Source organism: Homo sapiens, chromosome 7 (assembly GCF_000001405.40).
Source record: "Homo sapiens chromosome 7, GRCh38.p14 Primary Assembly".
NCBI classification, from domain to species: domain Eukaryota; kingdom Metazoa; phylum Chordata; class Mammalia; order Primates; family Hominidae; genus Homo; species Homo sapiens.
In genome coordinates, this window is record NC_000007.14 from 45,815,285 (window position 1) to 45,830,139 (window position 14,855).

The window sequence follows — 14,855 nt, forward strand, 5'->3', positions numbered from 1 at the left end:
CACCAAGCCTGAATTTTTTATTTTATTTTCCTTATTATTTGGTGTTAAACAGGTTTAATGACGGTCATGGCAACTTTTTGGCACAATGAAAAATACCACCCATGATCAACGTGTTCTGTTCTGGGGAAGGGGGCAAAGGCAGGGTGAATCACTTTCTTAAAAAGTACAGCTCAAGTTGGGAGTGCAGAGGAAATGGGGAGAAAACCCTCCCGCTGCCTGTGTCGAAGTGCAGGAGCCCCCACCCCCATACTCACCTGAGTCCAGCCCCTCTGGGGAAAGAAAGGGTGCATGAACTCCCCCTATTCCACAGGCGCCTCCCTGTGGCCCAAGGCCCTCTTCACACTCCATCTTGTAGCCCCAGCAGGAGCTATTTTCCGAAAAGTGAAAAGCTCTGAAGGTCCCACACTTCATGGTATGTACAGGGGCTCGGAGGAGGGAAACTGCCCAGCTTTCCCCGGCACAGCTGCAGGGCTAGGGGGTATATATAAGAGGAGCAGGCCTTGGCCAGGTGTGGTGGCTCACGCCTGTAATCCCAGCACTTTGGGAGGTGGAGGCAGGTGGATCACGATGTCAGGAGATCGAAATCAGCCTGACCAAGATGATGAAGCCCCATCTGTACTAAAAATACAAAAATTAGCCGGACGTGGTAGCGTGCACCTGTAATCCCAGCTACCCGGAAGGCTGAGGCAGGAGAACCCAGCAGGAAGAGGTTGCAGTGAGCCAAGATCGCATCACTGCACTCCAGCCTGGGCGACAGAGCAAGACTCCGTCTCAAAAGAAAGAGGCAGGCCTTATTCTGTCCCAGACTGAAAGGATTAAATGGCTTTACCCAGGAGAAGATAACCATCCTGCCCTCCATTGCTACCCCCACATACTGTCCATGTTCTCAGGGGGTACTGTGAGTCCTGGGATCTTTCTTTGGGGTCGCCCACCTGCCTGTGGTAGTTATGGAGACCCCCAGGTGTTGAGGCAGGGCTGGGGTGTCCCCTTCCAGCCAGGCTGTCAAGGCCCCAACTCTGGGGCAGAGGCAGTGGCAGGGCAGCCAGGGTTGCGCCAGAGCCTGAGCAGGGTGAGGTGGGGTCAGACAGGGCTGGGAGTCAGGGCAGGGGCAGCAGCAGTGGACCCGCTATGCACACATCTTCTTCTCCAAGGTTTGTGTGCAGAACATCCTGCTCATGCTGCCCCAGCAGCTTCAGTTGGCACCTGCTCCAGTCCAGCCTCTGGGACCCATGCAGCGGCTCCCAGCGGCCCTGCACTCACCACCAGCATCCGTTTCACCTGCAGTTGAAGATCCGTGAGGTGCCCAGAAGATCATGCAGTCATCAGTCCCACGGAGCAGCCCGCGAGGCTGAGGCTCCTCCCACTGGACCGCCCCCCAACTGGCACCACTGCTGCCCCTGCCTCTACTCTCAGCCTCACGTGACTCTCGGGCAGAGGCAGTGGTGGGGCAGCCAGGGCAGCGTCAGAGTCTGAGCCAGGTGAGGTGGGGTCAGGACCCCCACAGGGCTGGGAGTCAGGGCAGGGGCAGAACAAACCTTGGAGGGGAGGATGTGTGCATAGTGGGCCTGGAGGGCGGCTGTGGCCTAGTGGACAGGAAGAAGCAGTAGGCCTGGAAGAGCTGCATGATCAGGGCCGGCACTGGTCCAGGGCACGTGCAGTGAAGACACTGCCTTCTCGGTCTCTGGTTCCCTGAGCCCGTCCTCGGCTTCTCCCACCTGTACAGGCAAAGGGGAAGCTGTCCCCATCACACATCGTACACTTGTGGGTGTTGGGCTTTGGGCTGCAGCTGGAGCATCTTCTCATCTTGCATTTGAGCGTGGTGGGGTCCTCCAGTGCGGGATCCATGTCCGTGGGGTTCCCTCTGCCCTGACCCCCAAAGCCCAGTCAGTTTCTCCTCTTCAGGCTCTGCCCCCCGGGTGGCTCAGCCCAGCTTCTGCCTAGGAAAGCCTTAGTGTTGGGAGGGACCGTGATGACTGAGGGGCCTGGTAGCTCCAGGTTGCCCACACTTTCAGGTCTCTTGCACCAGAAGGTGGCAGGATCCATTGGGAGGAAACAGGTCGCCTTGGAAGGCGTCCCTGGGCCCCCATCCCCAGGGGTGGGGGCCATGGGCCCACTCTGCTGCCCTGACCAGATTCCTGGGCTTTGAAGGCTCCTGGGCCCAGTAAGGAGGTGGGTGCCAAGGTTGAGGAGGAAGCATAGGAGTGTGTAGGAGGAGGACGGGGTGGGACCATAGACTTTGCCAAAAACTGCAGGTGGATCGGGGGACCCTGGGGGCTCAGGATCCAGCAAGGGGCGGCAGGAGTAAAGGAATGACAGGTGCAAATACCTTCCCACCAAAGCCCTTGTTGCCCTCTGGCTCCTCCCCAGAGTCGTCCCCACTCTCAGTCGGTCACCCACTCCTTGAACTTGAGATCAGTGTCAGTGGTGCTAAAGCCGTCATCAGCAATGACATCATCACGCCCTCCTCCTCATGGATGACCATGGGCTCCTCGTCACTCGCTGTGTCCTCACCGGCCATGTGCTGGGAATGAGCAGCTCAGGTGGGCAGCAGCAGGGCTGCCCACTGGTCACCTCCCTCACCAGGGGCTGCAAAGTGGCCTGGAGCTCCATGCTGAGTAGAAGGCTTTGGGCCAGAGTATGATGCAGTGCCAGACACCACCTGTGTCAGTTCCTGTAGTGCCTGACGGTCTATTTCCCTGCCGTCCAGGCTGTGTACCCTGCTGTGGGAGAAGGCTTGGGCCAGGCTGAGCCAGGTTCCCTGACTGTGTGCAGCCGTCCTGCCCCACAGAAGCTGCTCCTTGGTATCCGAGCTCTGGAGTGTCTGGGCCGCAACTGACAGGCGTTCAGAGGACACCCCAGGGGCAGTGGCAGTGCCCGTCTCTGATATGCTCCGCTCCCACGAGCCCTTGTACACTCCTGCTAGCCCCTGGCTTGTGGGCTTGGCCTCTGAGCTGGACTTCTTTCGGTCCTTGTTGCAAGTGGGCCACCTTCACTTGGAAGGCCAGGTCGTAGCACTTCTGCGTCTCATTGGGCCCCAGGGTGTACCACCGCTTGCTCAGGATCTGGCTGACGGTCCAGTTATCCTGGTTGGGGTGACCCTGGTGCGCCCTGCCAGAGCCTGGTGCCGCTTGCTGAAGATCATGACCACCACTCATGGGCCACCGGATGTGGTCCTTGTCCCATTTGTTGGGGCTGCATCCATCCTTCTCAGAAGATGAGTCCTGTTCCTTGCGCAGGGCACTGAGGGACTGGGCCTGACATCATCTGAGTGGTAGAGGCAACTGGGTGTCAGGGGACATGACGGAGAGGAAAGCTTCATCGTGGTCATTCTCTGTCTCACTGTCCAGCAGGGACTCCCCTGAGGGGCCCAGGGCTCCTCCTCCATGGTGGGAGGTGGGCTTTTACCAGGTTCCACCACCCCCAAAGTGTGTGGGGTTCCGGGCCCTGGGCTTTCAGGGCAGGTGGCTCCAGGGGGCCGCGCAGGGTCAACACTCCCTGTCCCACCTGGTGGACGCTCATGAGCAACAGCTGCCAACTTGGCAGGTTGTTTGCTCTGGTTGGAGGCCACTGAGTGACTGGCAGGTTGCCGGGCCTCGTGTGGCTGCAGGGAGGGGTCAGGAAGGGGACGGAGTACCAGGGGAACATGGCCACAGAGCGAGGTTCCACATTCCTCCACATGAACATGCTGACGCCACGAGAGGCCTCGCTGGACGCAGGCCTGTGGGCCGAGTACTTGGTCCGGGCAGGGGGTTCCTGGCAGGGGCTCACACCTCCTCAGCCCCCTCCTCAGCCAAGGTGGCTTGGGCCCAGAGAAGGAGGGGTTGGAGAGGAGCAGAAGGCCAGGCCTCATGTTTTGTTTTTTTTTGTTGTTTTGTTTTTTGTTTTTGAAATGTAGTTGGACTCTTGTCACCCAGGCTGGAGTGCAGTGGCACGATCTCAGTGGCCTTCATACCTGGCTAATTTTTTGTATTTTTACTAGAGGTGGGGTTTCACCATGTTGGCCAGGCTGGTCTTGACCTCCTGACCTCAGGTGATCCACCCACCTCGGCCTCCCAAAATGGGATTACAGGCATGAGCCACCGCTCCCAACTTCATTCATTTTTACTTGAAAAACTCCCTTAAGCATTTTTTTAAGGTAGATCTAGTGGTCCTGAATGCCCTCAACTTTGTTTGTCGAGGAAACACGTTATTTCTTCTTTCTTTCTGAAGGACAGCTTTGTCAGACATAGTATTAGTTGCTGGCAGTTTTTTTCTTTCAGCACTTTGAATGTATTATTCGATTCTGTCCTGACCTGCAACGTTTCTTTAACTTTTGACTATTTGATTATATTGTGACTTGTTGAGTATCTATTTGGTTTGAAGCTCTTTAGGAATCTTTAAGCTTCATGGATTTAGATGTCTAAATCTTTCCCATGATTTAGGCAGTTTTCAGCCATTCTTTAAATAAGCTTTCTTCTCCTTTCTCTACTTTCCTTCTCAAACTCCCATAACCTGACAATGGTTTGCCTAATGGTGTCTTGTTGGCTTTCTTTTCTCTTTCTCTTTTTTTTTTCTTTTTTTTTTTTTTTTCTTTGAGACAGAGTTGTGCTCTGTCACCCAGGCTGGAGTGCAATGTGTGGTCTCGGCTCACATTGCACTCCAACCTCCGCCTCCTGGGTTCAAGCGATTCTCCTGCCTCAGCCTCCCAAGTAGCTGGGACTACAGGTGTGTGCCACCACACCCGGCTAATTTTTGTATTTTTAGTAGAGATGGGGTTTTGTCATGTTGGCCAGGCTGGTCTTGAACTCCTGACCTCTTAATCTGCCTGCCTCGGCCTCCCAAAGTGTTGGGATTACAGGCTTGAGCCACCATGCCCAGCATTCTTTTCTCTTTTTTACTCCTTTTTTCTTTGTCCTCTGACTGGATAATTTCAGAAGATCTATATTCAAGTTTACAGATTATCTCTCCTGTTGAAGTTTACTATTGTGTTATATCGCCCAGTCTGGTCTTGAACTCCTGGGCTCAAGCGATCCTCCCACCTTGGCCTCCCAAAATGCTGAGTTTACAAGCATGAGCCACTGCATCCAGTCAGTCCCAGCACTTTGGGAAGCTGAAGTGGGAGGATCACTTGAGCTCAGGAGTTTGAGACCAGCCTGGGCAACATACTGAGACCTTGTCTCTATATAAAAAAAAAAAAAAAAAAAATTTTGGGAGGCCAAAGCGGGAGGATTACCTGAGGTCAGGAGTTCGAGACCAGGCTGGCCAACATGGCAAAACCCCATCTCTACTAAAAATACAAAAATTAGCCAGGTGTGGTGGCACACGCCTGTAGTGGTGGTGCATGCCTGTAGTCCCAGCTACTCAAGAGGCTGAGGCAGGAGAATCACTTGAACTGGGAGATGGAGGTTGCAGTGAGCCCAGATCACACCGGTGCACTCCACCCCGGGCAACAGAGTGAGACTCCATCTTATAAAAGGAAAAAAGAAAGAAAAGAAAAATTCCATATCTGAGTGTTTACTCCTGAGTTTTTGAGATTGTTATTAAGATCATGCTCTACTGTGATGATTTGGGTTTGTTTGATAATCAGAAAAAAGCATATTCTTTTGGGTGTTCAGCCACACTGTGCTTTGGTGTCACAACTGCACATTGGTTTCACAGCTGCACGACAAGTTCGAGCATCTTAAAATGATTCAACAGGAGGAGATAAGGAAGCTCGAGGAAGAGAAAAAACAACTGGAAGGAGAAATCATAGATTTTTATAAAATGAAAGCTGCCTCTGAAGCACTGCAGACTCAGCTGAGCACTGATACAAAGAAAGACAAGCATCGTAAGAAGCAATAGTTTCTGTTACTATTCTGAGAGCCTTATCATTCTACATCCCATCTTCCTGTGAGATTGTCTTTGTAGCATTTAACTCTAATTGCAGTTCTCATTTTAAAAATTGGCTTGCTTATTGTTTATTTTCCCCAACTAAAGCGTGAACTCCTAGCAGGGCGTGGTGGCTCATGCCTGTAATCTCAGCACTGTGGGAGGCCGAGGTGGGTCGACTACCTGAGGTTAGGAGTTCGAGACCAGCCTGACCAACATGATGAAACGCTGTCTCTACTAAAAATACAAAAATTAGCCAGGCATGGTGGCCGGGACCTGTAATCCCAGCTACTTGGGAGGCTGAGGCAGGAGAATCACTTGAACCCCGGAGGTGGAGGTTGCAGTGAGCCGAGATCTCACCATTACACTCCAGCCTGGGCGACAAGAGCAAAACTCCATCTCAAAAAAAAAAAAAAAAGGTGAACTCCTTGAAGGCAGGTCCTGTGTCCATCTTTTCAGATTCTGTATCCCAGCACTTAGGACATAGACAAACACGAAGATGACAATATTTGCCAAAATGAAAAAACAAAAGAAACATGTAACATATGTAAAAGGAGCTGGTTAGGTGGAGAAATTTCTTTACCATAGTCTTGCTTGTGGATCCAGTAGTGACTTTTACATTTTATATCTAAATAGAAGCTGGAGGCTTTGTTGGGGACTCATAGGCATAAAATATTATGTTATTTATTATAGAGTTAAATGCTACAAAGACAAATCTAATTAATAGGCCTATTTTCCTTTTTAAATTCTACTCATAATTTCTTCATAGTTTTTATGATAAAAGGTTGGATTTTGATTAGAACTCCCATGCTTTTGTGTCAGAATTAAAACTGATATTAGAATAAATAATTCAAAAGCTAGAGAAAGAGTACAATGAAAAGCCATGAGTTGCATTTGAATTATATTATGTCTTACAGATTTGAGGTATATGCTAAAGTTACCAAAGTTGTAGAAAATAAGGCCGGGCATTGTGGCTCACATGGGTAATTCCAGCACTTTGGGAGGCTGAGGTGGGCGGATCATTTGAGGTCCGGAGTTCGAGACCAGCCCGGCCAACATGGTGAAACTCCATCTGTACTAATAGTACAAAAATTAGCCAGGCGTGACGGTGTGCACCTGTAGTCCTTGCTACTCAGAAAGCTGAGGCAGGAGAATCGCTTGTACCCAGGAGGCAGAGGTTGTAGTGAGCAGAGATTGTGCCACTGCACTCCAGCCTGTGTGACAGAGTGCTGTGAGTCACCACACCTGGTATGAGCCACCGTGCCTGACCCACAAGGACTTTTTATACATGTTGTTAAATCATCTTACAGATTTTATAATTTGGGGGAAGAAAAGTTTTACTAAATGGTCTTTTAATGGAAACTCTACAAGAACCAGAATCTTTGCTTTGTTCACTTATGTATCCATTCCTAGGCCTAGAAAAATGTCTGACACATAGCGGCAATTATTCATTGAATAAATGGACCCAGCGATAGTACATTAGCTATGCTATATGCATACATTAAAGATGTAGATTATTGACTTTCAAAAGATAATTAATGTAACTTCTTACTGTTTCTGAACATGTTTGTGAGTTATATTGCTGAGGGACCTTTATCTTCTCATTCTTTCATCTTAACCCAATGTTATAAAATTGAAATCACCAATATTATTCCATATCTAAAATTAATATCTACCTTGTAAAAAATATCACTCTGCTGCATTTGAGAATAGACTTTTTAGGTAATAATGATGCAATCCATAGGGTTTTTTGGGGGCACAGAAGGAGTCATGCTAACAGAACATTTTATTTTCTATTTTCCCAGAGCTGTAAAACATGAAATTATGATAGTATAAGGCATATTTTTACTCTTTTTATAATTTTTTCTAAAAAAAATTAGTGTTTGTTCCCTATATAACTTTTAACTTTATAGGTAAATATTTGTCTCTTTCAGCTCCAGTTTTATGTGAAATAGAGTTTTCAGATTTATGTAGCATGGAAAGTTTTAATACCTCAGAGTTACTGATTTTTGCCAATCATTTTCTCAATTATTTATTTCTTTTTTATCTTTAGTTGATTTTTTTGTAGTGACACATTTTGTTTCTAGTCTCATTTCCTTTTGTTTATATTCTATGTATATTTTGTTTTTGGTTACTATGAGAATTACATATAACATCCTAGAGTTATAACATTTTAATTTGAATTTATTTCAACTTAAGTTCAATCACATACCAAAATTCTACTGCTATATATATAGCTCTACTCTTTTTATGTTATTGATGTAACAAATTATATCTTTATTCATTGTGTACCAGCTAACAGATTTACAATTACATTTTATGCATTTGCCTTTTAAATTATGTAGAAAATAAAAAGCAGAGTTACAAACCAAAATTACAATAGGACTGTTTTTATGTTTGTTTATGTATTTACCTTTACCAGAGAGCTTTGTATATTCATACAGCTTGCTTAGTTACTTATATAGTTATTGCCTAGAGTTCATTTGTTTCAACTTGAAGGACTTAACACTTCTTGAATGGCAAATTCAGGGATAAATGGATTTTTTTCAGTTTAAAAAAAATATCTGGAAATGTCTTAATTTCTCCCTCATTTTTGAAGGATAAGTTTTCCAGCTGTAGATTTCTCAATTGACAGGTTTCTTCATTATTTTAAATATATAATCCACTGCCTACTGGCCTTCAAGGTTTCTGCCAAGAAATCAGCTGCTAATGTTATCTGGATCTCTATCTGTGAGAGTTGCTCTTCTCTCTGAGTTTTCAACATTCTCACATTGTCTTTTTGTTTGTTTGTTTTTTGAGACAAAGTCCTGCCCTGTCACCCAGGCTGGAGTGCAGTGGTGTGATCTCAGCTCACTGAAACCTCTGTCTCCTGGGTTCAAGTGATTCTCCCATCTAAGCCTCCCAAGTAGCTGGGGCCACAGGCATGTGCCACCATGCCCAGCTAATTTCTTTGTATTTTTAGTAGAGATGGGGTTTTGTCATGTTGCCCAGGCTGGTCACAAACTCCTGGCCTCAAGGAATCTGTCCAGGATTACCATTTACCCAGCAATCTCATTACTTGATATAGACCCAAAAGAAAATAAATCATTCTACCAAAAATGCACATGCACTTGTATGTTTATCACAGCACTGTTCACAATAGTAAAGACATGGAGTCAACTTAGATGCCCATCAATGGTGGACTGGATAAAGAAAATGTGGTACATATACACTGTAAAATACTACACAGCCATAAGAAAGAATGTGACTTTTGCAGCAACATGGACGCAGCTAGAGGCCGTGATCCTAAGAGAATTAACATAGAAACAGAAAACCAAATGCTGCATGTTCTTACTTACAAGTGGGACATATGGACATACATTGGGTACATATGGACATAAAGATGGGGACAGCAGACACAAGGTACTACTGGAGGGGGCAGAGGGAACAGAGGGGGAAGGCAAGGGCAGAAAAGCCACCTATTGGGTACTATGCTCACTATCTGGGTGATGGGATCATTCATACCCCCAACCTCAGCATCACATGATACACTCATGTAACAAACCTGCACATGTACTCTCTTTATCCAGTCTCTGCTATGTCCCCACATTGCCTTCTCTTTGTTTTTTTTTTTTGTTTGTTTTTTGAGATGGAGTTTTGCTCTTGTTGCGCAGGCCAGAGTGCAATGGCACGATCTCAGCCCATGGCAACCTCTGCCTCCTGAGTTCAAGCGATTCTCCTGCCTCAGCCTCTGGAGTAGCTGGGATTACAGGCATGTGCCACCACGCCCGGCTAATTTTGTATTTTTAGTAGAGATGGAATTTCTCCATATTGGTCAGGCTGGTCTGGAACTCCCGACCTTAGATTATCCTCCCACCTCGGCCTCACAAAGTGCTGGGATTACAGACGTGAGCCACTGCGCCCAGCCTTAATCAGATTTTTCTAAAAACCAAGTGGGAAATCTCCTGGGGTCCCCAAGGTAGATTTGGCCCCTGGACCATATCTTGTGGTTTTCAGGATGAGAGGCTGGACGGGGTCCTCAGCCTGTCTCTTCAGCAGCAACAGCGCTCTCAGCCACAAAAGGGGGATATGTGCTCAGGAACATCAGCCCGAAAACTGGAAATCTCAGCCCTGGCACCTGGTGTTGGCAGCTCTCACTCAGATCACCCTTAGTCACTCCTAGCTTTATTGCTTACTGCTCAGCGTGCCGCTTGGAAACCTTGGTTCATGAGGGAAAAAAAAGAACTCATGTGCTCACTCTTGGACCATTCTGCCCGAATTCGTCTGCCCTCATGTTGCGGCCTTGGGCTTTGCAGGTCATCGCCCCCAGCCTCACACCCTTCACCAATGTCCCATCATTGCCCAGGACCCATAAGGCCTGTCGGGCCCGGGATGTCCTGGTCCAGCTTCCGGCCTCCTTCCCTGTCACCTGCCACCCCACACTCTCTGTTTTTGGACAGCAGTGGCCTTATGTCAGGTGCAATTGCGATCACTCACCTCAGCCACCGGCAGAACTTCCTGCATGCTGCTTTTTTCCCTTTTTTTTTTTTTTTTTTTTTTGAGATAGAGTCTTGCTCTGTTGCCCAGGCTGGAGTGCAGTGGTGCGATCTTAACTCATGGCAACCTCCGCCTGCCGGGTTCAAGCGGTTCTCGTTCCTCAGCCTCCCAAGTAGCTGGGACTACAGGCACCCACCACCATGCCCGGATAGTTTTTTGTGTTTTTAGCAGAGACAAGGTTTCACCATGTTGGCCAGGTTGGTCTTGAACTCCTGATCTCAGGTGATCCACCAAGCCTCGGCCTCCCAAAGTGCTGGGATTACAGGCATGAGCCACCACACCCGGCCTGAATTTGGTGAACCTTTGGACAGCTCTCCCCTTGTGTTGTAGCCTCAGGCTTCGCAGGTCATCTCCCCCAGCTTCATGCTCTTCACTGGTTTCCCATCATTGCCCAGGACCCAGTTGTGAACTCCTTATAAGGCCTGTCAGGCCCCGATGCCCTGGCCCTGCTTCTGGCCTTTTTCCCTGCCACAGCCACCCCCACATGCTGTTACCAGACAGCACTGGGCTCATGTCAGCTGCAATTGCTATCACTCATCTCTGCCACCAGCAGACCCTCCTGTATGCACCTTTCTGGAAGGGTCTTTATAGCATTTCTTTATTTTTTTTATTTTTTATTTTTTTTTGAGATGGAGTCTCACTCTGTGGCCCAGGCTAGAGTGCAGTGGCATGATCTCGGCTCACTGTAACCTCCACCTCCTGGGTTCAAGAGATTCTCCTGCCTCAGCCTCCCAGGTAGCTGGGATTACAGGCACACGACACCACACCCAGCTAATTTTTATATTTTTAGTAGAGACAGGGTTCCACCATGTTGGCCAGGCTGGTTTCGATCTCTTGACCTTGTGATCCTCCCACCTCAGCCTCCCAAAGTGTTGGTATTACAGGTGTGAGCCACTGTGCCCAGCCTTCCCAGTATTTCATAAGCAGTTACCTCTTCCCAGAAGTCTTCCTCCACCCTGTGAGTCTGTGTAATTCTCTGAGCTTCTCATTGGGCCCAATGAGCCCCTGTCACACCACTTAGCACACTGGAGTGTCTGCCTGCCTTCTCAGATGGAAGCTCCATGAGGGTGAGCACGTGTCAACCTCATGCACACCTATGCCCAGCACCTCGATACCATGCTTTGCACACCACAGGGCTCAGTAAGGATTTTACTAAATATGGCCAGGTACAGTGGCTCGCACCTTTAATCTCAGCAATTTGGGAGGCCAAGTTGGGAGGATCACTTGAAACCAAAAGTTTGAGACCAGCCTGGGCAACATACTGAGACCCCATCTCTTCAAAATATTAAAAGCTTAGCCAAGTGTGGTGGCGTGCACCTGTAGTCCCAGCTACTCAGGAGGCCGAGGTGGGATAGTCGCTTGAACCCAGGAGCTCAAGGGTGCAGTGAGCCATGATTGTGCCACTGCACTCCAGCCAGGCTGGCAGAATGAGATCCTGTCTCTAAAAAAAAATTGACTAAATGTGTGAATGAAGGAATGAATGAGTGTATTCTTCCCTGTTCCCTGAGAAGTGTCTGCAAAAGCCAGTGTACTTCCTTCCATCCCCTTCCCTCCCTGTTCACCAGGTGCCTCTCATTGTCTCCCAAGCCTCTGCAGACACATCCCAAGGAACAGTGCTGCTGAAGGACTAGTTCTGTTCCTTGTGATGGTGGAAAGAAATGGGATTCGGGCTGGGCGCGGTGGCTCACGCCTGTAATCCCAGCACTTTGGGAGGCCAAGGCAAGAGGATTGTTTGAGGCCAGCCTGGGCAACATAGTAAGACCCCCATCTCTACAAAAAACAAAGATTAGCCAGGTGTGGTGGTGCATGCCTGTAATCCCAGCGCTTGGGAGGCTGAGGCAAGATGATAGCTTGAGCCCAGAAGGTTGAGGCTGCAGTGAGCCATGATCACGCCGGTGCACTACAGCCTGGGTGACAGGTGTACCCTGTCTCTAAAAAATAAAAAAAAGAGGCCAGGCATGGTGGCTCACATCTGTAATTCCAGCACTTTGGGAGGCCAAGGCCGTTGGATCACCTCAGGTCAGGGGTTTGAGACCAGCCTGGCTAACATGGTGAAACCCCATCTCTACTAAAAATACAAAAATTAGCCGGGCATAGTGGGCGGGTGACTTAGCTGTGCTGGTAGAACGTATGGGGATTCCCACCCCATGCAGCACGCCATCCCATTTGCCGAGTGTGGTGGCTCACGCCTGTAATCCCAACACTTTGGGAGGCTGAAGCGGGCAGACCACCTGAGGTTGAGAGTTTGAGATCAGCCTGGCTAACATGGTGAAACCTCTAGCTTTGCTTAGAGAAGCCAGAAAGAGGTGCAGTGGCTCAGGCCTACGTAATCCCAGCACTTTGCGGGGCCGAAGTGGGCAGACCATGAGGTCAGGAGTTCAAGACCAGCCCGACCAACATGGTGAAACCCTGTCTCTACTAAAAATAAAAAAACTAGCCCGGTGTGGTGGCCCGCACCTGTAATCCCAGCTACTCAGGAGGCTGAGGCAGGAGAATCGCTTGAACCCAGAAGGTGGAGGTTGCAGTGAGCCGAGATAGTGCCACTGCACTCTAACCTGAGTGACAGAGCAAGACTCTGTCTCAGAAAAAAATAAAACTAAAAATAAATAAATAAAAGAAATGGGATCTGGAGGAAGGCCGACCCAGCCTCAGAACTGGCTCTACCACTTACCAGCTGTGCACATACCTTATTTTCTTCATTTGCAAAGTGAGAAAATGGGACCAAGCTTGCAGGGTTGCTGTGACACATTGCCCGCCAGCCTGACACATGGTAGGCAGTCATTAGATCAGGGTCTTCCTCCCTCTTTCCCAGTGCCCCTGCCTAAGCTCACTCACCTCTGGAACCTTGGGACACACACACACTCCTGCAATCTCAAGTAGCAGCCGCTACTTCCTGACCCACCTCTGTCCTCCCCAAGGTTGCCCTTTCCTCTATCCCCTGACAAAGAGTAGTGCCAGGCACGGAATAGATGCTCCAAAGACATGAAAAGAATGAAGGAATGAATGAAGCAGCCATCACAGTATCCCCTGGGGCATGATCCCCAGTGGCCACCAGCCTCCTTTTTTTTTTTTTTTTTTTTTTTGTGAGACAGAGTTACTCTGTCACCCAGGCCAGAATGCAGTAGTGTGATCTCGGCTCACTGCAACCTCCGCTTCTGCCTCCTGGGTTCAAGTGATTCTCCTGCCTCAGCCTCCCAAGTAGCTGGGATTACAGGCACCCACCACCATGTCTGGGTTTTTTTGTTTTGTTTTTTGAGACGGAGCCTCACTCCGTCACCAGGCTGGAGTGCAGTGGTGCAATCCCAGTTCACTGCAACCTCCAACTCCCTGGTTCAAGTGATTCTCCTGCCTCAGCCTCCTTAATAGCTGGGATTACAGGCCATGTACCACCATGCCCAGCTAATTTTTGTATTTTTAGTAGAGATGGGGTTTCACTGTGTTGGGCAGGCTGGTCTTGATCTCCTGACCTCAGGCAATCTGCCCACCTTGGCCTCCCAAAGTGCTGGGATTACAGGGGTGAGCCACTGTGTCTGGCCTGCCACCAGCCTCTTGATAGGCAGGCCAGGCAGAGAACATGTGAACACACAGGTGCCAGGACACCCTCCCAAGGCAACGACAAGGAACAGAAAAATTGACATTGGACTTTACCAAAGGACAAAGAGGAAGGAGGAGGGAAGATAAAGAAAATGTATAGCTCTGTGGGAAAAGGAAACTTTGAGAACTGCTGGGCTGGATTCTTGTGCATGGCATGAGGGTACCCCTGCAAGTCACCCCAAGGATCACATGTGCACAATTGTGTCCTCTGAGCAGACTCCTCTGAAGGGTATCTGCGTTCCCCACAGCCATTCCTGGTTCTAAGAGGACAAGTTCCAAAAAAAGCTTTTAAAAATTTTTTATTGATTTATTTTTTATTTTTGGTAGAGATGGGGTCTTGCTATGTTGCTAAGGTTTGTCATGAACTCCTGGCCTCAAGTGATTCCCCTCCCCCTGCCCCACCTCAGCCTCCCAAAGTGCTGGGATTACAGGTGCAAGCCACTGTGCCCGGCCCGAAATCACTTTCTAAGTTCGCCCCTTTCATCTGAAATGTTTTCCTCTTGTGAACGTTTTATGTCACGTGTACCCTTAGGACCCCCTGACAGCCCTCCTCAGGCCCCTTCTGCAGCCTCCTTTGTTATATGTGATCGGAGCACCCCGAGAGCTTCATCATCCATGATGAGCACCCGCCCTCTCTCCAGTCGGAACCATTGGCTGATGAGTAAGGGCTGATTTCTTCTCAAATGATTACCACCCCCAATTCATTACATTGCAAAGACTGAGCTCAGAATGGCTTGTCTGATGCTTGATGCGGTTGCGCTTTTTTGGAATGCCATTCATTGAGGATGCAAGTTCTCTCCCGTGTGATGCTTTCAGGTGCAAGCTGTGACATGGTTCCACGCGCTTCTATGCTTTGTCCTCCCCTGTGATTTTCGCAT

The 14,855-nt window shown here is 48.9% G+C and overlaps 2 pseudogenes; one reads left to right on the top strand and one right to left on the bottom strand.

Moving 5' to 3' along the window:
• CICP20 (capicua transcriptional repressor pseudogene 20) lies at positions 42–3,774 on the bottom strand (annotated as a pseudogene).
• Positions 5,636–8,221, top strand: SEPTIN14P7 (septin 14 pseudogene 7; annotated as a pseudogene).